At 45.5% G+C, this 21,875-nt stretch overlaps 1 protein-coding gene and 1 long non-coding RNA gene across 11 annotated transcripts in view; one reads left to right on the forward strand and one right to left on the reverse strand.

The window, feature by feature from the left end:
* Positions 1-21,875, reverse strand: part of VPS53 (VPS53 subunit of GARP complex) — a 206,172-nt gene that overhangs the window by 18,256 nt on the left and 166,041 nt on the right. For 7 of the 10 annotated variants that reach the window (XM_047436345.1, XM_047436344.1, NM_001128159.3 and 4 more), the window contains 2 exons: positions 10,105-10,253; positions 5,919-5,988 (listed from right to left, as the gene is read on the reverse strand). In XM_047436345.1, the coding sequence (XP_047292301.1) occupies positions 5,919-5,988; positions 10,105-10,253 (219 nt within the window). Of the gene's footprint in view, positions 1-5,022; positions 5,989-10,104; positions 10,254-21,875 lie in introns of those variants that run through there. The other 3 variants (NM_018289.4, NM_001366253.2, NM_001366254.2) reach the window with 1 other exon arrangement.
* Positions 1-21,875, forward strand: part of VPS53-AS1 (VPS53 antisense RNA 1) — a 28,617-nt gene that overhangs the window by 4,187 nt on the left and 2,555 nt on the right. The window contains exon 2 of the long non-coding RNA XR_007065570.1: positions 13,466-13,680. This is a non-coding gene — a long non-coding RNA (VPS53 antisense RNA 1). The remainder of the gene's footprint in view (positions 1-13,465; positions 13,681-21,875) is intronic.

Consider the following 21,875-nt stretch of genomic DNA (forward strand, 5'->3'; position numbering starts at 1 on the left):
ACATAGGTGAACCATATTGGTCCCACCATAGAAAATTCTTCAATGAGGTGGCACAGGGGAGACAGCTCAGGCTATCAGGAGGGATGGAACAAGGTGGACACATGTTCTATTTCTTTTTCTTTTTAAAAAAATTAGGTATAACTTTCACAGAGTACACAAACACCACGTATGCCATTTGATCAACATCCAGACATGTGCACATCCTGCTGCCTAACGGAAGACAGAGCACACTTCTGGCATCCCTGAAGCCTTCCTCATGCTCTCGTCCAGTCAATGCTCTCCTTTCCCTCTCAACAAACTCTCCTGCTGTCTCTCACTGTAGCTAGTTGCCTGCTCATAAACCTGCTCTGAACATTCGTCTCTCCTACTCTCTCTCACTGTAGCTAGTTGCCTGCTTCATAAACTTGCTGTGAACATTCGTCTCTCCTGCTCTCTCTCACTGTAGCTTGTTTCCTGCTCATAAACCTGCTGTGAACATTCGTGCGCATGCCTTTGGTGGTCATAAAGTCCTCATTTCTCTAGGGTGGAAGCTACTCAAGAGTAGAACTGCTGGATCATGGGGTAGGCATATGTTTGGCTAACTGCCTAGGAGTTTTCCAATGTGGCTGGGCTAACTTCCATTTCTACCAGCACATATGAAAGTTCCAGATGCTCCACATCCTTACCAACACTTGGTATCATCACTCTTTTAAATTATTATTATGATTAGAGACAGGGTCTTACTCTGTCACCTGGGCTGGAATGCAGTGGTGCAATCATAGCTCACTGCAACCTTGAACTCCTTGGCTCAACTGATCCTCCTGTCTCAGCTTCCCGAGTGGCTAGGACTACAGGCACGTGCCACACTTGGCTAATTTTTAAATTGTTTTGTAGAGATGGGGTCTCGCTGTGTTGCCCAGGCTGATCTCAAACTGCTGAGCTCAAGCAGTCTTCCTGCCACAGCCTCCCAGAGTGCTAGGATTACAGGCACAAGCCATCGCACTTGGCCAAAGTCTTTTAAGTACTCAAAATAACCAATCTTTTCTTTTATGGTTAGTGCTTTTAATGTTTTGTTTAAGGGATCTTTGCCTAACCCAAGGTCATAAACATATTGTCTTATATTAAATCTTCCAGAAGCTTTATTGCCTTATTTTTTAGAGCCATAATCCATCTGGGATTAATTTTCTAAAAATGGAGATATAATTCAAAAACCATAAAATTTACCTTTTGGAAGTGTACAATTCAGTGGTTTTTAAGGTCTATTCACAAGGTTGTACAGCTGTCAGCATTATCTGGTTTCAGAACACATTATCACCCCAGAAAGAAACCCTTACCCATTAGCAGCCATTCCCATCTCCCCCTCCCTCAGCCTTTGCCAACCATTAATCCACTTTCTGTTTTACGGATTTGCCTGTTCTGGACATTTCACAGAAGCAGAGTCACACAATAGGTGGCTTTTTGTGTCTGGCTTCTTTCACTTAACATGGTTTCAAGGCTCTTCCATGTTGTAGCATGAATGGGTACTTTATTCCTTTTAATGGCTGAGTAATATTCCCTTGTATGGATAGACCACATTTTGTTTATCATCAGCTGATGGACATTTGAGTTGTTTCTACTTTCTGGCTATTATAAATGGTGCTGCTATGAATATTTGTGTACAAGCTTTTGTGTGAACACATTTTTTTTTCAATTCTTTTTTTTTTTTTTTTTTTTGAGACAGAGTCTCACCCTGTCACCCAGCCTGAAGGTACAGTGGCGCAATCTTGGCTCACTGCAATCTCTGCCTCCCAGGTTCAAGTGATTCTCCTGCCTCAGCTTCCCGAGTAGCTGGAGTTACAGGTGCACACCACCATGTACAGCTAATTTTTGTATTTTTAGTAGAAGTGGGTTTTCACCATGTTGGCCAGGCTGGTCTCGAACTCCTGACCTCAGGTGATCTGCCTGCCTCAGCCTCCCAAAGTGCTGGGATTACAGGTGTGAACCATGCACCCTGCCTTTTTCAATTCATTTGGGTATATATCTAGGAGTATAATTGCTGGGCCCTGTGGTAACTCTATGTAAATGCCAAACTGTTTTCCAAAATGGCTGTACCGTTTTGCATTACCACCAGCAATGTATGAGTGTTCTAATTTCACCAAATCCTCTTTGGAATTGATTTTTATATATGGTGTGTGGCAAAGGTCAAGATTTTTTTCCGATATGGATATCCAATTACCCAGCACTATTTACTGAAAAGACTCTCTTTGAATGATGCCACTTTGGTCATAAATCAAGTATCTACACATGTGTGGGTCTATCCCTCAGCTCAGATCTGTTCTGTTGGCCTCTTTGTCCCTGGGGCCAGTGCCACACTGCTCTAATTACAATACTGCTGCAATAAGTCTTGATATCCTGAGCTTTAACTCCTCCAATTCTGTTCTAAGATTATTTTGGCTGTTGTCTTCTGTATTTTCATCTAACTTTTAAAATCAGCATATCAATTCACACACACACACTCACACACACACACACACACACACACCCCTGCTGGGATTCTACTGTATCTATAGATAAATTGATACAGTAATTAGGATTGAATTCTATCTATAGATTAATTTTGGAATAATTTGCCGCTTTTTAAATTGTTATTTATTTTTTATTGGGCAGCCTCCTCAGCCAGAGCAGGCTCAGAAAGACTCCATATGTATTTCTTTTTGAGTCTTTCTTATCAATGAACATGAGCTATCCTGTCATTTTAAAGGTCTTTATGGATTCTGTGTCTTAATATTGTACAGTTTTCTGTGTAGAAGACTTGTACATTTTTAATTTACTCCTAGGTATTTAATGTTTCCTGATGTTATTGTAAATGATTTCATTTAGGCCTGGGAGCCATGGCTCACGCCTGTAATCGCACCACTTTGGGAGGCTGAGGAGGGTGGAGTTTGAGACCAGCCTGGGAGACACAGGGAGGCAGACCCTATATCTACCAAAAAAAAAAAAAAAGAGCCAGCCAGGCATGGTAGTACATTCCTGTAGTCCCAGATACTTGAGAAGTTGAGGCAGGAGGATGGCTTGAGCCCACGAATTGAGACTGCAGTGAGCTATGATTGTGCCACTGTACTCACTCCAGCCTGGGCAATACAGCAAAAAAAAAAAGTATTTCACTCAAAAATGTTCATTTTTAAATTGTTTGCTGCTGGTATATAGAAATATATTTTAAAACACTTTCCTTATAGCCAGCAACCTTGCTAAATTTATATTCTTTTTTTTTTTTTTTTTTTGAGACGGAGTCTCTATCACTCAGGCTGGAGTGCAGTGGCGCAATCTCAGCTCACTGCAACCTCCCAGGTTCAAGCAGTTCTCCCAGGTTCAAGCAATTCTCCTGCCTCAGCCTCTCGAGCAGCTGGGATTACAGGCGCACCACACCTTGCCCAGCTAATTTTTGTATTTTTAGTAGAGACGGGGGTTTCACTGTGTTGGTCAGGCTGGTCTTTAACTCTTGACCTTGTGATCCGCCCGCCTCGGCCTCCCAAAGTGTTGGGATTAAGGGTGTAAGCCACTGCACCCGGCCTGCTAAATTTATATTCTAACAGTTTATCTGTAGATCCTTTTAGATTTATTACTCATAATCATATTTTCCATGAAAAATGACAGCTTAGTTTCCTCCTTTCTAATCTGTATATATTTTGTTTCTTTTAAAAATATTGTATTTTTTGCCTTGTTGTCCTAGCCAGGACTTCAACAACAACGTGGGATAGAAATGGTGACAGCGGACATTCTCCTCTTATCCTTAATCTCAAGGGAAAGAAAAGCTTTCATAGGTGAACGCAGTCATAAGAATAATTAGTGACCCTGCAAAACAGGATGATCTGAAGATCATAAACTAGCAAGAAGCATGATCAATATTGGTGTGGGTCAGTTCCACGTGCCCTTGCAATTGCTCGAGGACTCTGGGGCCCAAAGATAAAGAACTCACTTTATATAGTACTCAGAGAACAAAGAGCAGAAAAATGTCTCCCATCCCATTTTCAGCATAAGTATTAAAGCAAAACCTAATTTAGGATCTGGCACCCTTGTGGCAAGGCAGACACAGCTGAGGTTGGGCTAAATCTTAGCTTCCAATGCCATAGCTTTTGTTCAAGTTTGGATGGCAGCTGCTCCACTACTGGAGGCAGCGTCTGTTTCAGTCTATGAACACTGCTGAGTTAACTTGATTCTGATGGTTCTGCTGCCTGAGTGAACACGCCTGCAGCTACATGGCTGCTTGAGTTTCAAGGCCCAGACATCAGGGCAAGTACAGGCCCAGCCAAACCTCAACTCATGTGAGAATCGTTCAGGGGCCACGTTGCCCTGTAGTTCCCACCCACACCCTCCCCATTCTGGGCCTGTCAAGATCCACACTCCCCTACTGCCCACCTGAACTGGCCTGGGGTCTGATTAAGTAAAACTCCAGTTCCAGCAGATGGTTTTCTCATCCACACCTCAAAACGGAAGTAAACATAGGATGTTGGCTGTGGGTTTGTTAAAAAATAATAACAATAATGGATGTAAGCACTGGATGAACTGATATTTTTCTGAAGATATTGGCTTTGGGTCTGAGCTTACTATAATCATTAAAAGACTCTTTTTTTTTTTGTGGGGCAGATGGTGTCTTACTCTGTTGCCCAGGCTTCAGTGCAGCGGCACGATCATAGCTCACTTCAGCCTGGATTCAAAGAATCCTCCGACTTCAGCCTCCTCCTGAGCAGCTGGGACTACAGGTGTGGACCGTTTTTTAGCTAATGTTTTATTTTTTTTGAGAGATAGGGTTGCACTATGTTGCCCAGGCTGGTCTTGAACTCCTGGCCTCTAGTGATCCTCCCATCTCAGCCTCCCATCACTGGGATTTATTCTTTTTTTTTTTTTTTTTTTTTGAGATGGAGTCTCACTCTGTTGCCCAGGCTGGAGAGCAGTGGCGTGATCTGAGCTCACTGCAACCTCCACCTCCACCTGCAAGTGATTCTCCTGTCTCAGCCTCCCAAGTAGCTGGGATTACAGGCATGCACCACCACGCCTGGCTAATTGTTTTTTTTTTTTTTTTTTTTTTGAGATGGAGTTTCGCTCTTGTTGCCCAGGCTGGAGTACAGTGGTGTGATCTCAGCTCACTGCAACCTCCACCTCCTGGGTTGAAGCAATTCTGCCTCAGCCTCCCGAGTAGCTGGGATTACAGGCGCCCACCATCACGCCCGGCTAATTTTTTGTATTATTAGTAGAGACAGGGTTCACCATGTTAGCCAGGCTGGTCTCGAACTCCTGACCTCAGATGATCCGCCTGCCTGGGCCTCCCAAAGTGCTAGGATTACAGACGTGAGCCACCATGCCCGGCCAATATTCCAAGTTTTTTGCTAGTTTTTTTGTTTGTTTGTTTTTTTGAGATGGAGTCTCACTTTGTCACCCAGGCTGGAGTGCAGTGGTGTGATATCGGCTCACTGCAACCTCCACCTCCCGGGTTCAAGTGATTCTCCTGCCTCAGCCTCCCCAGTAGCCTGCCCCCATGCCCAGCTAATTTTTGTATTTTTAGTAGAGATGGGATTTCACCATGTTGGCCAGGCTGCTCTCAAATTCCTTACCCCAGGTGATCTGCCTGCCCAGGCCTCCCGAAATGCTGGGGTTACAGCGTGAGCCGCTGTGCCCGGCCCAGCCACTTCTTCTTATTGGAGTGTGAGCACTAGGAGCAGGGACCTTTCCATGGTGCTTGCTGTGTTATACCCTGCACCCAGAACTTAGTAGGCGTTCAAACAAAATTTTTAAAAATAAATGGAAGAACGAATTAAGAAACCTTCCGGGTGAGTCATTATACTGTCCCCAAACAGGGGACATCATCAATTTTATTCCTGCCAAGTAGATCTGGACTAGAAGAATATGTGCTTGATCTACAACAAAAGCTGCCAGGCAAATGCCTGATACTACGTCCATCTCACCTGTTCTGCTCCCACCATGCTAATTGGCTTGCACTTGAAGAGGTGGGTGATGAATTTGGGAATGAAGGAGCTGTGGATAAAAAAGAAGTGACAAATTAGGCTTATTCTCTCTTGAGGAAAGAAATGCAAAAACTTTAAGGTTCCACGTATCTCCATGAAAAAACCTTTTTTAATGAAGAATCGAAGTGGACTCCACTGTTGCCCATTATCTTATTTTTCTTCTGAGTGAAGTCCTGGTTTTGTTTAGTTACATGAGGCCCTGGCAGGCCCGGGAAAACCGGATCCCATCCTAGACTCCCAGTGAACTCTAACTATTCTCAGCTCGTCAGAGCACAGCATTCCTTTGGTGACTGTTGTTTGTCCTGAGAGGGAATATGATCGAAGCTAGCCCAATCAGACTGGATGTAAGGGCTACAGGCACCGCACCTGGCTACTTTTTAATTTTTTTGTAGAGGCAGGATTTCGTTATGCTGCCCAGGCTGGGCTCAAACTCCTGGCTTCAAGCAGTCCTCCTCCCTTGGGCTCCGGAAGTGCTGGGATTACAAGCGTGAGCCACTGGGCCAGGCTTCCTTGATTCTTCATTCTCTGTCTCCAGCCTCATCCTGCTAAGCCCTGGCCTCCCTATGCTTCAACCCAACTGAGCCACTTGCAGATCCCAGGATTCTGGGGGCTATTTAATGCCTACACTGCTCCCTCGCCTGGACTGCCTTTCCTAGAAGGGGCTTGTGGGTCAGTACACACGCACCTCTCAGATCCTGTTCAACGGCGTCTCTAGAAAGCCTTTCTTCTGCTGCCTTCGCCATACTCTACATGGAGTCTGCAGGCCTCCACCCTCACATCTAACCTAGTTCATTATGCTCATTTGCTTACATGTCTATTTTGCTTCACCTGACTATTAAGGCAAACGAAGATGGGGGCCATGTTTATCAGGCCAAAACATTTAACTCTGGGTCTGAGACATAGGAGATGCTCAAGTGAATGCACATTGAGTAAATCATAAACTTTTTTTTTTTTTTGAGACAGAGTCTCGCTCTGTCACCCAGGCTGGAGTACAGTGGCACCATCTTGGCTCACTGCAACCTCTGCCTCCTGGGTTCAAGCAATTCTGGTGCCTCAGCCTCCTGAGTAGCTGGGACTACAGGCACGCACCAGCATACCCAGCTAATTTTTGTATTTTTAGTAGAGATAGGGTTTCACCATGTTGGCCAGGCTGGTCTCGAACTCCTGGCCTCAAGTGATCCTCTTGCCTCGGCCCCACAAAGCGCTGGGATGACAGGCGTGAGCCACCGCGCCCAGCCACCTACCACTTTTTGAATGTCAGCTTGGTATCAGCACTTTACCAGGAAGTTAATATGTGACTTCTCATTTTATCTTCCCAACCACTATTATGAGATTTGTCTCATTATCTCCTTGATTGAAGGGAGGAGGATCAGCTCAGTGGATGAGGGAAGTTGCTTGTGGTTCAACTGCAGTTTCAACCAGGCTGTGGATTTTGATGTCTCAACAGGAAAGGCTGCTATTGCTTAAGACAGCAAACGAGGTAAAAGGAAACATCTATGGTTTTGCAGGGGTGGGGTAGAAAGGAAGCTGAGGGAGAGGAAACTGGAGTCCGGAGATCGGATCTGGAGGTGGCTTGTGATCAGGAAGGAGAGTAAACAAGGGGCTATTTGGAAGGAATTCCTCAGTGCTGGAAACCAGAGCCAGACAAGCAACATGAAACTGAACTCATGACCAATGGCAGCTGTGCACACAGCGCTTTGTAACCTAAGTTGCTTCACATTAGAACATGCTCCGGACTGGGCATGGCAGCTCATGCCTATAATCCCAGCACTCTGAGAGGCCCAGGCAGGTGGACTGCTTGAGCCCAGGAGTTTGAGACCAGCCTGGGCAACATGGCAAAATCTCATCTCTACAAAAAATAGAAAAATGAGCTAGGCCGGGTGGCGAGCGCCTGTAATCCCAGCTATTCAGGAGGCTGAGGTGGGAGAATCACCTAAGCCCAGGAGATGGGGGCTGCAGTGAGCTGTGGTTGCACCACTGCACTCCAGCCTGGGTAACAGAGTGGGACCCTGTATCAAAAAAAAAAAAAAAAACCTTTGGCTGTGCCCCTGAACTGGCTCTCTATACTAGTCTACAGGTGGCGATGGGGGGAGTATGAGGACCTGACACACGTCCTGTGGGGAAAAAACCAAGCAATGTGCTGGGTAACTGCCAAGGGCTTCTCTGGGCCATCAGGGCGGTGGTGGCTGCTGCCCTTGACCAGGGAAGGGTCTCCTCACAAGCCCACCTCTGTTAAGCGGGATTTTAGCAGGATGAGAAGGCACCATGGATGAAAACAGAAAACCACTTCCTAGATCCCAGGCTGAATGATTACAGATGTGAGGGGGGGCATCCAATTCCCAGCGCACTCAACCTGGGCTTAGCAATGAAACTCAAGGGCTCTGAGAGAATGTGAGGCTGATGCTGGGAGATGCTGGGACTGGCTAAGTCAACCGACTCCTCCTTCACTTTAACGTAAGCTCAATCATATGACTGAGCTGGGAGACGCCGGGACTGGCTAAGTCAACGGACTCCTCCTTCGCTTTAATGTAAGCTCAATCATATGACTGAGCAGGGAGACGCCGGGACTGGCTAAGTCAACAGACTCCTCCTTCACTTTAATGTAAGCTCAATCATATGACTGAGCTGGGAGACGCTGGGACTGGCTAAGTCAACGGACTCCTCCTTCACTTTAACGTAAGCTCAATGAGACCCCGGAGCAGCCACCCTGGAGATTTTGAGTCACAGTAAATTTTTACAGAGACACTGCTTCTACCAGCAGTTATGGGGAGCGTCACGATGTGATTTATCAGCAACATTTCTAACACACTAATGAGCACCCAGAGAGTGAGGGAATTTCACCTCCTGGTCCATCTGCCATCTGCAAACATTAATGCCTCCCTGGAGAGTCCACTCTATCCTTTCTTGACAAACTAGAAAGTAAAGCTGACACCACAAGCCGCTCCATAATTGTTAGTCCTGAGGGGTTCATTTGTGAGGTACAGGGAAACTGGGAGAGATTGGGGGAAGACAGAAACTTGGAGTCCTGAATCACCAGCTGGGGCCTGGATGGGAACAACCCAAATACAGTAGCTTGGCCTGGGCTGACCCTCCTGAAGCCCTTCCCTGAGAAGTCTGCCAAAATGCTTGCTTGATAACTGGTCAGAGGAGACACTGACCCTCACCACCACCTGGTATCACGGAAAATGGTGCTAAGCCAGATGGTGATCGGCAAAGAACTAAACTATTTCCTCGCTTCAAAACTCAGGGCAGAAATGGCCACACACAAGACACAGCAGGAAGACACACGGCTCAGGGTGCACTCACCTGCCTTGGCCAGGGAGCTCCCTGGCTTGTGCATCCCAATTTCTAGTGCCTTCCTCGGACCAAGAGTGTGTCCAAGTATGAATAGATAAATTCTAGCAGCCATGGTAAAAAATACCAGGGGGAGGGAGGACAAGAAGGCTCAAAAGAAACAGAACCGATGGCTCCTACCCTTAAGAGGCATTTATTAAGCCAGTCAGAGAAACAAAATGCATATATGAAATCCCTGAAAAAGAATTTTAATTATCCAATCCTGGGCAAGGAGAGCTTATGCCTGCACAGTTCAAAACAACAGTAGGCCCCATTCATTTTTGTTTGCCTTGACGTGGCTGGCAATTGTACTGCTGTTACTGTTGCCTATGACTTTAAGTAGCAGATTTAGTTTTATGATTATGCTTCTTTTGTGTACAAATTAAAATCAGTACTGCAGGCACCAGAACAAACCGCAGCTGGATGGTGGGGACACTCAAATTGTGAGGATGCTGGTGGGAAGTATGGTTTTAAAAACAACCCAGTTGAGTATGACACTGAAATGGCGGCCACACGTCACTGTACATTTGTCCAAACCGAGGGAATGTCCAGCGCGACGTCAGAGTCCGGGTGATAATGACGTGTTGATGCAGGTTCATCCACTGTAACGAATGTGCCACTTTGTGTGTGGGGAGGTGTCGGTAATGGGAAGACTGTGCATGTTGGGGGGGTCAGGTACACGGGAAATCTCTGTGCTTGCTGCTTAATTTGGCTGTGAACCTGAAACTGTTCTAAAACATAAAGTCTATTAAAAAGAACAAGAACCCAGAGATGAGCACGCCCCAGGACTTACTTTGCAAATTTAACGCAGAACTGAGTGAAGTACTTGCGTGTGGAAGCCAGGTTGTCACGGATGATGGGGACGTTCTGCTTGATGTGCAGAATGACAGAGGTGACGTAGGGGCTCTGGTCACCAACGTGCTCCACGTTCTGCCACTGCATCTGAAAGGGAGAAAGGATGAGGCGTTGAATCCCTCGCAGGAGAACGGTGTCGCCTGTTACTGGGGAAGGGAGGGGCTGGAGTGGAAGTCAGGTCACAGCTTTGGTATCCCAGGAATCAGGCCCTTTTGTCCTGGGGAGTTTCTTATTCGTTCTGTAGGGACTGATACTCAGGACAAATGCGAGTGTGCCCAGCGGACCCGACAGTGAGGTGTGACCCAGACCCTTTCCTTTTCCTGCCTTGTCCCCGACCTGCCTGAAACAGCCTTCCCTTCTCAGCTAAGCTACCCACTCGTAAAGGATCCTGTTCTCCTGCCGAGTGCCCCACAGCAGGGGACTGCAGCAGAACGGGGAGGGACACCGACTCCCAAGCTGACCGGCAGCCTGGGAGATGAGAGAGGTGGCTGGACTAAGTGACATGCAACCTGGAGGGGAATTCACAGACACCTTTCTCTCCAGTCAACTGGGAGGAGTTTGGGATTCTTTAACACAGAAAACTAGAAATGATATGACACGTGGGGATGTTGCTTCAAAATAATATGAAGTTACCGGGAAGAGGTGCAGATGAAATAAGATCGTGAAGCTGAGTGACAGGTACATAGAGGCTGACCACACTGTTTCCTCTACTTTTGAATATATTCAAAAATTTCCATAATAAAACACTTGAAGAGGTATGCGTGTAGAATCTTACACTCCTAAAACCTTTGGGATTATGTCAGGATTTCAATAAGGGGAAGGGAAAGAGAATCTCTGGCAAACACTAGGGTGGACCAGAGGGTAAGATGGAGACGTGGGGAACAGGCCAGGAGCCAGGCGCAGGGGAGAGAACATTGCTGAGAGCACCGAGGTGGTCCCTGAACAAGCTGTGAACAAAAGTGACAGACCTGCTTCAACCTGAGCCCTAACGACAGGCTCTGGAAGACACCTATAGCAAACTGGCGGGATTCTTGGACTACGTGGCACTTGGCAACATTGAGTCCTGGGAACAGAAGGAGGCAATGCTGCAGTGTGCCATCCCCCAAGGGTGCATGCAGGAGATGGGTGCAGCACCAGCTCCTAGCCTGCCCCGGGCTGGCAGGGAAGGGCATTCTAATCCCGAAGAGTGGGAATGGTCTGGAGGGTTCTGCTGAGTCAGCCTTTCACAGTGGAGCTGGACGGTCTGGAGGGCTCTGCTGAGTCAGCCTCTCACAATGGAGCTGGATGGTCTGTTAAAGAGATCCTAAGCCAAACACAAACCATATAATATGTTCATAGAAGGAAGTCAGTAGTTCTGAGGCCCTGATGTCTCTGGCAAGAAAACACTATTTTTACAGAGCTCTTGGGGAAAGGAAAAAATCAATACTGAGAGAGCTTGTTTAAAAGAATCACATCGTACGTGGATGATTCTCCAGCTGTGGGAAGCTCAAATGACTCCTAATGTTTTTTCAAATCAGCGGATATTTGTATTCTAAAAGCTTTAGGGATGTGTACACACAGAACCACAGAAAAGCAGGAAGGGACCTCCATCTTCATTTCACAGATAAGAAAGCCAAGGCCCAGAAACATGAAGAGTCTTATGCAAGGTTTCATAACCAGGCTCCACACAGGAAAAAGAACTCTAATTTATTACTGGGAAAAAACAGAAACAAACAATGAAGAAACAGTAGAAAGGTCTAATATGAAGTGACTTAACATTCTAATGCTTTGGTTATGTGAAATGTTTTCCTCATTATCTTTTATCTTACGCAAGAGGCTTCTTTTTCCATTTGATTTTGAAGATTTGACCCATCCAAACAATGAGCATCCTGGGTGATTTTAAATGAGCTCATAGGGTGAGGCCAAAATTGACAGGTGCTGTCAGCATTTCCTGGGCTCTGCAGCAGGACTCGGAGCAGAATGTTCTGGGTAGACACAGCGAACTGGGAGGGCTTGATGCCCCCAAAGCCAATCATGTCCATAGCAATGACTGTTACTTTCCAAGCTGGCAGCTTTGTATATTTCAAAATCTCAAAACGGTTTATCAACAATAATCTAAACATGACAGCCCTCCATGAAAGAAGGTGGCGACGTGCTCTGTCACCAGTTACAAAGCAGCTCTGAAGCAAGACCAAGCAGGGGCCTGGGATTTCTTCAACTTCCCACTGGTTATTCCGCATGCTCGTCACCGAACTCCTCTTGATGATCACTGGCCAAGTCAGTATGTGCCCACATTTGGAATATATGTGAAAAGAGCTGATTTGCTTTAATACTCTGGTCAGTCATGACTCCATTGGTCAAGCTAAAAGAAGTATTAGCAAAGGCCAAGTGGATTCATGATTTTAAACTTAAGTCAGCTTAGTCAACTAAGAAAGTGATTTAAAGTACTAGAAAACAATAAAAGGTGACCTTACCTTTAGTATTTTTTAAAAATGTGGCACACGCCTATAGTCTCAGCTACCAGGGAGGCTGAGGCAGGAGGGTCACTGGAGCCCAGAAGGTTGGGGCTGCAGGGAGCTGTGATTGTACCACTGCACTCCAGCCTCAGATGGCTGATGCTTGCCATCATCCCCCATGGGTGACTGAAGGTTTGGGTCACAACCTGAACTGCCCAGGATAGCTACATTAAGACCGAACTTCGCAGGTCCCTTTGCATGGCCCTAAACATACGTCGTCTCATTTACTATTCATACATGATCTCACTAAGTTCTCACAACAACCTTATAGATGAGGAAATTCAAAAAGCTCAAAGAGATTTGGTATCTTGCACAAAATTTCACAGCTGGGACAACCACGTCTATCTAAAGCCCAAACCAGGTCTATCTAAAGCCCAAACCAAGTCTATCTAAAGCCCAAACCCGGTCTATCTAAAGCCCAACCAGGTCTATCTAAAGCCCAAACCCCACAACAAGGTGCTTGCTAGACAACTTCCCCCCCGACCCGCCCCCGCCACCCTGCCCAAAAAAAGAATAAAAGCACTTAACTAGGCCTTCGTTAAAGGTAAGGCCTGTTTCTCAAGGAGACGCTAATGAAACATAGTGATCAAGCAAAGGACTCTTTATTTTTCATTTTTTTTTGAGACAGAGTCTCTGCTGCCCAGGCTGGAGTGCAGTGGTACAATCATAGTTCACTGCAGCCTTGACTTCCTGGGCTCCAGCAATCCTCCCAGCTCTGCCTCCCAAGTAGCTGGGACCACAGGTGTACACTACCATGCTCAGCTAATTAAAAAAATATATTTTTTTCTTTTTTACTTTTTGTAGAGACAGGGGTCTCACCGTGTTGCCCAGACTGGTCTTGAACTCCTGGGTTCAAGCAATCCTCCTGCCTCAGCCTCCCAAAGTGCTGGGATTACAGGTGTGAGCTACCACGCCTGGCCCAAAGAACTCTTTCAAAAAAGGAAACAAACAGTACCTTGCATTGGAAGAACAAACATCATGAAAAGCCATCAGTAGAAATGAGACCTCAACTTTTCCAGGTAAACTTTTCATTTGACATTTAGAAGTTACCCCTCTACACTTAAAATTGTTTCTTGTTGTGCTTTTTGTTTTGGGGGCTTGGGTAGAGTTGAATACAGATGGCGTTCAACTGGTACTACTATCTAAATGAGACACAGTTTGAAGACAGTAAGAATGATGAGTGCCTCCGGGACCTAGTTTAACCACCACAAGAAGAGACTGCAGGGCCCAGAGTGTCCCCAGAGCCCAGCTTCTGCGGCCTGGGCAGGAAGTATGTGCTCTGACTGACGCTCCACAGTGGGGCTGGGGGGTCAGCACTCTTTCTAGAGAGAGTCTACTGTAGCAGGAACTTTGACCAGAGAACAGCGCTCCACAACTAGCTTCAGTGGATCTTGTTTTTTCCTATTGCTATAGGAAGCTTGGAAAGAGGTTTCTTGAAAATGTGAATACTTAAATTCCTACTTCTTCACTGGATTAGAGAGACACAGAGCATAGACTCAGACAGCTGGGCTCTGGGAACATTTCAGGCAACTGAAGTCTCATAACTGAGGCTGCCGGGGTGTTGGCCTCAAGCTGTAGACTTTACTCAGGCACACACGTACACGCTCACTCTCACTCTGATGCCTGGTGGGGCTTTCACTCCCGCAGCATCTGCTATATTTATAGGTACCTTCGGCAAGTGCAGCAGGGCACTGAGCATCAGGTGGAGACCAAAGAGATGAAGGAATGTTTATCAACCGCCTGCCACACACTGAAGGAATGTTTGTCAAGCATCTACCATGCACCAGGGGCTGAAGGAATGTTTATCAAGCACCTACTACGCACTGAAGGAATGTTTATCAAGCACCTACCATGCACCAGGCACTGAAGGAACGTTTATCAAGCACCTACCATGCACCAGGGGCTGAAAGAATGTTTATCAAGCACCTACTACGCACTGAAGGAATGTTTATCAAGCACCTACCACGCACTGAAGGAATGTTTATCAAGCACCTACCACGCACCAGGTGCTGAAGGAACGTTTATCAAGCACCGACTACGCACTGAAGGAATGTTTATCAAGGACCTACCACGCACCGGGCGCTGAAGGAATGTTTATCAAGCACCTACCACGCACCAGGGGCTGAAGGAATGTTTATCAAGCACCGACTACGCACTGAAGGAATGTTTATCAAGGACCTACCACGCACCGGGCGCTGAAGGAACGTTTATCAAGCACCTACCACGCACTGAAGGAACGTTTATCAAGGACCTACCACGCACCAGGGGCTGAAGGAATGTTTATCAAGCACGTACTACGCACTGAAGGAATGTTTATCAAGCACCTACCACGCACTGAAGGAACGTTTATCAAGCACCTACTACGCACCAGGCGCTGAAGGAATGTTTATCAAGCACCTACCATGCACCAGGGGCTGAAGGAACGTTTATCAAGCACCTACCACGCACCAGGGGCTGAAGGAATGTTTATCAAGCACCTACCACGCACTGAAGGAACGTTTCTCAAGCACCTACTACGCACTGGGCGCTGAAGGAACGTTTATCAAGCACCTACCACGTAACAGGTGCTGTGCCTGACATTTTCACATGACCTTGCTGCCTGATGAATGAATCATGTAGTGAAAGAGGTATTATTACTCCTCTTTGTGAGTAATAATAAATGAGGATGAAACAGGATTGAGGACAGCGAGTGACCTGCCTAAGGAAGCGTAACTGCTAAGTTAGCAGGAAAGGTCATTAAGATGGTACTTAAGATGCTGAAATTGAGTCAGCCAGTCTGACTTCTGACACTGTGCAACCTTCTAAAGGGGTGACCGGGACAAGTCATCTAATTTCTCTGAGCCTCAGTATTCTCGTCTATAAAATTGGGATGATGGTAACATCTATAATCTATTACTGAAAGATAACGCATGGAATGCTCTTAACACAGTGTCTCGCAGCACGTATAAATTCCACAGTAAATTTTAGCTACTGTTATAATTTTAAGAATACTTGCACTATCACTAAAAATCACTAAATTTCGATAACTGATAATTATCAATTAATTCAGATATGTATCAATTAATTGAAATTATGGTGATTTAAGTTTTATTCTTTTTTTCAAAAAAATCTGACCGGGCGCGATGGCAACATGCCTGTAATCCCAGCAGTTTGGGAGGCCAAGGCAGGTGGATCACTTGAGGCCAGGAATTCGAGACCAGCCTGGCCAACACTGTGAAACCCCGTCTCTACCAAAAATACAAAATTAGCCGGGTGTGGTGGCAGGCACCTGCAATCCCAGCTACTTGGGAGGCTGAGGCAGGAGAATCACTTGAACCTGGGAGGCGGAGGTTGCCATAAGCACAAATCACGCCACTGCACTCCAGCCTGCCGGATAGAGCGAGACTCTGTCAAAAAAAAAAAAAAAAAATCTGCATTTTTCTAAAATGGAAGTGATTTAGTTTTGTCATAATGGGAAAAATCTTTTTTATGAAAAAGAAAGCTGTGTCTTGATTCTAGGTAGAACTTGACAGTTTCTTAGTCATGGCTTTCTGTGGGCCTTCTGAAACAGATGTGCATTTTAATGACTGAGGAAAATGAAAATGAGAACAGACTTGTCTTGATTCAACGTAGAAGTGAACTTGAGGATTTCTTAGCTGTGGCTTTCCATGGTCCTTCTGAAACAGATCTGCATTTTAATGACTGAGGAAAATGAGAACAGACTTGAGAACTCTTCTACCTGTTTCAAAGTGTCTTTGGGGGATTATAACGCAGCCTCCTAAATGGGTACATGTTCACAATCCTGAAACCTAATATAAATTATGTGCCAGACGGTAAGAAAATTTAATTTATTCAGTTTCTGTTTTTTCCTAAAACTACCATTAATAGGCAAAACACTAGGTGTGTTTGCTTCTGAACAGAGACTTGGATTTATTTACCTGAGTGATGTGAGCAGCCCTAGGAAAAGGCACGGAGAGAGGCGGGGACCATGAGACCAACAGCCCCTGCTAGGGAGCCCACGGCTCTCTATCCTACGTACAGGGGCATAACCAGACATACTCATTTCTAAGGATTTGTAGGATTTAAATCTAAAAGATAGAATCCTTTGTATTTCCACCAAAACACTCCAAATAACTACTTTTTCCAGAATCAGGAGAACTAGTTTTACTTCTAGCTTCACTATTATAAGTTATATGGCTTTGGGCATAATATGAAGAAGAGAAGGAAGGAAGGAAGGAAGGAAGGAAGGAAGGGAGGGAGGGAGGGAGGGAGGGAGGGAGGGAGGGAAGGAGGGAAGGAGGGAGGGAAGGAGGGGAGTTTGGAGGGAGGGAAGGGAGTCTGGAGGGAGGGGAGGGGACAGGGGAAGGGAGGGAGAGAGGAAAGAAGGAAGGAAGGGAGAGTGGGAGGAAGGGAGGAACGGAGAGAGGGAGGAAGGGAGGGAGGGAGGGAGTGAGGAAGGCAGGGAGGGAGGGAGGGAGGAAGGGAGGAAGGAAGGAAAGAAGATACCAGAAGGAAAGTTCATTAGTTTTCAGGGAAAAATATTCAACGCAGATTGGAATATGTGGGTTGGCTGTTCAACACATCTTCTCCACTGTAGAAAAGTCCTGGTGTCAGATCAAGAAAAGCTGGAGATGAATATACACCATGATGATGGTGAATGCTTGAAGAACTCATAATCATATCAGCATGAACACTCGTGTGGACCCACCAGGACTGGGCACATGCTGACAGAAATGTATCAACTAATTGAAATTATGGTGATTTAAATTTTATTCCTTTTTTCAAAAACATCTGGTCGGGCACGATGGCAACATGCTTGCAATCCCAGCAGTTTAGGAGGCCGAGGCTCTTCCACTTTTAGGCAGGTTACTTAAGCTGATTTTGCCTCAGTTGCCACATTTGCCAAAAAGACTTACTCACTCTCTCTGTATGGCATGCCACAATCCTGCATAAAGAGGCACTGTGGTGGCGTGATCACAGCTCACTGCAACCTCTGCCTCTCAGGCTCAAGTGACCTTCCCACCTTAGCCTCCCAAGTAGCTAAAAGATCTGGAGCAGGTGATTTAATGTCTCTGTTTCAGCTTCTTTATCTGTGAAAAGGGGAAATAGCATAGCCATCTGATGAATTTATTGTTAGAATGAAATTAATTGGGTTCCAATTCCTGGTAAGTGCTCAGTAAATAGTAACTTATTATCAACTCATACAGGTTATCTAAGAAAATAAGCAATATGGAGGCCAGGCACAGTGGCTCACACCTGTAATTCCAGCATTTTGGGAGGCCGAGGTGGGAGGATCACTAGAGCTCAGGAGTTTGAGACTGGCCTGGGCAACATAGCAAGACCTCATCTCTACTAAAAATCAAGAAAATTAGCCAGGTGTGGTGGTGTGCGCCAGTAGTACCAGCTATTTGGGAGGCTAGGGTGAGAGGATCACTGGAACCCAGGAGGTCAAGGCTGCAGTAAGCTATGATTATGCCACCGCACCCAAGCCTGGGCAACAGAGTGAAGAAATTTTTTTATGAAAGAAAGAAAATAACACTATGGGAAGGAAACGTGGTCTAGAAGTTAATTTTGCTGTAACTCATCAGCAACACTACTGGAATCTCAAAGTCAGAGTTTCAGAGGGACCACCTGACTTTCATCACATTTTCCTCCCCCTTCTTCGGCCTGGCCTGCAGAAGGCTGCACCTGCATGTGAATCTAGCAAACTACCGCTCTGCATTTCCCTCTCCTTGTCTAGCAGCAGGACTCAGGGCCACACCCCCGCGGGCTCGTATTCCTTCATTCCCACATCTCTTCAATCGGCTCCAGGATGCCACCTGCTGAAGTCAGAAGCCCTTCTGCTATCAGGTGCCATTGAGGAGCATCACTCCATCCTCAACAGCACCAGCTATGGACCTAAAGGTTTCAGGGATTCTATGACCCCACCGTCTCTCACAAAGTTGTCCAAGTTTCCTACTCTACATCTACCAGCTCCACCTGGCTACCTCTGCTCAGTAGAGTTATCTATGTCTCACTTGTTTACCAATCTTTGGTCAAAAGTGTGTTTGTGGTCCTTTGGTTCTTTCTCTCCCACTCCCTGGCTCCCTCTTTACCTTCAAAGTCATTCAGGGAATACTACAGTTAAGCAAGTACTGTGCCATGCCACGGGTTTCCAAAATGAATAAGACACAGCCCTCAAGTTGTTCAAAGTTTAATAGGGAAGACAAAGACATAAAAATGATTACATAACAAAGCAGAAAGGTAGTCTAGGTACTATGGTGTCTTGAAAGAGAAATAAATATGCTCTGGCTGAGGCAAGAAATGCTGACATTGTAAGGGACCTAGAAGAGCCAAAACAGTGTTGAAAAAGAACAAAGTTGGAAGACTCATACTTCTTGATTTCAAAGATTACTACAAAGCTATTATAGCCAAACAGTGTGGTACTGGCCTGAGGGTGGACATACAGATAGATGGAATAGAACTGAGAGTCCAGAAATAATCCCACACATCTATGGTTAACTGATTTTTTACGAGGGTATCAAGATCATCCAATGTGAAAAGAATAGTCGTTTCAACAAATAGTGCTGGGAAAGCTGAGTATCCTTTCAGCAAAAGAATGCTGCTGAATCTTTGCCTCACACCATATGCAAAAATTAACTCGAAATGGATTGAAGACCTACATTTTTTTCCTTTTTTTCTTTTTTGTGAAGACCTAAATTTCTTAGAAGAAACCACAGAGTAAATCTTTATGATTCTGGATCAGGCAATGGTATCTTAGATATCTCACACACACACACACACACACACACACACACACACACACACACACACGATATACCAACTTCAGAAAATCAAGGACATTATCAAGAAAGTGAAAAGGCAACCCACCCACAGAATGGGAGAGAATATTTACAAATTTCATATCTGATAAGGGGTCTAGTATCCAGATATAAAAAGAACTTTTACAATTCAACAACAGAAAGACAACCCAATTTTAAAATGGGCAAAACATTTAATTCTCATTTCTTCAAAGAGAATATACAAATCGCCAGTAGCATCTGAGAAGGTGATCAACATATTAGTCATGCAAGGAATGCAAACTGTAATCACAATGAGATACCACTTCACACCCACGAAAATGGCTATAATTAAAAAAGGAAAACAAGTGTGGGAGAAGATGTGGAGAAACTGGATTCCTTACACTTTGCTGTGGAAAGGTACAACGGCACAGTCACTTCAGAAAACAGTGTGGCACTTTCTCAAAATGTTAAACATAAATTGACCATACGGCTCTTTCAGTTCCATTCCTTAGGTCCCTTAGATCCTTTTTTTTTTTTTTTTTTTTTTGAGACAGAGTCTCCCTCTGTCACCCAGGCTGGAGTGCAGTGGTGCAATCTTGGCTCACTGCAATCTCCACCTCCCAGGTTCAAGCCATTCTCCTGTCTCAGCCTCCCAAGTAGCTGGGATTACAGGCACGCACGCTACCACACCCGGCTAATTTTTGTATTTTTATTAGAGACAGGGTTTCGCCATGTTGGCCAGGCTGGTCTTGAACTCCTGACCTCAGGTGATCTGCCCACCTCGGCCTCCCAACGTGCTGGGATTACGGGCATGAGCCACCACGCCTGGCCTTTAGGTACATATTGAAGAGAACTGAAAACATGTTCACACGAAAAATTGTACATGAATGTTCACAGCATTATTCAAAATTAGAAAGTAGAAATAACTCAAACGTCCAATAGACGAATGAATAAACAAAATGTGGTCTATCCATATGATGGAATGTTACTCAGCCACAAAAAGGAATGGAGTGCTGACACATGCCCCACCATGCACATGCCCTGAAAACACTACGCTAAGTGAAGAAAGCCAAGCACAAGATGTCCCACATGCCATATGATTCTAGGTATGCAAAATGTCAGGAGGGGCAAATCTATAGAGACAGAAAGTAGGCTAATGGTTGTCAGGGGAATGTAGAATGACTGCTGAGAGGTACGGGGTTTCTTTTTGGGGTAATGAAGATGTTCTGGAATTAGATGGTGGTGGTGGTTTCATGACATTGTGGATATACTAAAAACAACTAAATTGTACACTTTATTTATTTATTTATAAAATAGAGTCTCACTCTGTCACCCAGGCTGGAGTGCAGTGCTGCAATCTTGGCTCACTACAACCTCGGCCTCCCAGGTTCAAGAGATTCTCCTACCTCAGCCTCCTGAGTAGCTGGGACTATAGGTGTGTGCCATCATGTCCAGCAAATTTTTTGTGTTTTTAATAGAGACAGGGTCCCACCATGCTGGCCTCGAACTCCTAACCTCAGATGATTTGCACTCCTCAGCCTCCCAAAGGAGTGAGCCACTGCTCCTGGCCAACTGTATACTTTAAAAGGGTGAATTCTGTGGTATATGAATTATACCTCAGGTTTTTAAATGGGGACAGACATTTGAACTTGATCTTAAAGGACGTGCTCCTTGGGCAGACGATAGCAGGAAGAAAATTCTGGGCAGAAAGAATAAAATGAGAAAAGGCATGGAAGCCGCAAAAGAGCAATATGCATTCAGGGAAGTAAACATGGCTGCGACTGGAGAACAGGGCACATACTCCGGAGTGAGCGGCAGAAACTGACCTAGCAGTGGAGTAAAGAGATAGATAATGAAAGCTCTATATGCCAACCAAGGAAGAGGCCATGGGATGCCTTCCATGAGAATGAGGTCTCCCAGGAAAATGACTTAACCAAGTTGCCAGGCTCAATCCCTCTTGTCAAGGAAGTCTCCTTCCGTCAACTCAGAATCATCCAATGACTACACTCCACTTTGGCCAGCCAACAGTCCTTCTGGAATCATCCAATGACTACACTCCACTTTGGCCAGCCAACAGTCCTTCTGGAAATATCCAACGACTACACTCCACTTTGGCCAGCCAACAGTCCTTCTGGAATCATCCAACAACTACACTCCACTTTGGCCAGCCAACAGTCCTTCTGGAATCATCCAACGACTACACTCCACTTTGGCCAGCCAACAGTCCTTCTGGAAATATCCAACGACTACACTCCACTTTGGCCAGCCAACAGTCCTTCTGACATTTATAAGATACACTTATTTACAGTATTGGTTGTTCTCAGTTTTCTTCCCAGCAGGGTATAGACTCCTTGAGGACAGTCTCGTTTCCAATCTTAACTCTGTCAGTCCAAGTACAGGAGTAGCCTGAGGAGCCCCTGGGATGTTGAATGAGATTGGCAGTTTGAACCAAG

Source organism: Homo sapiens, chromosome 17, assembly GCF_000001405.40.
Source record: "Homo sapiens chromosome 17, GRCh38.p14 Primary Assembly".
Classification (NCBI taxonomy): Eukaryota; Metazoa; Chordata; class Mammalia; order Primates; family Hominidae; genus Homo; species Homo sapiens.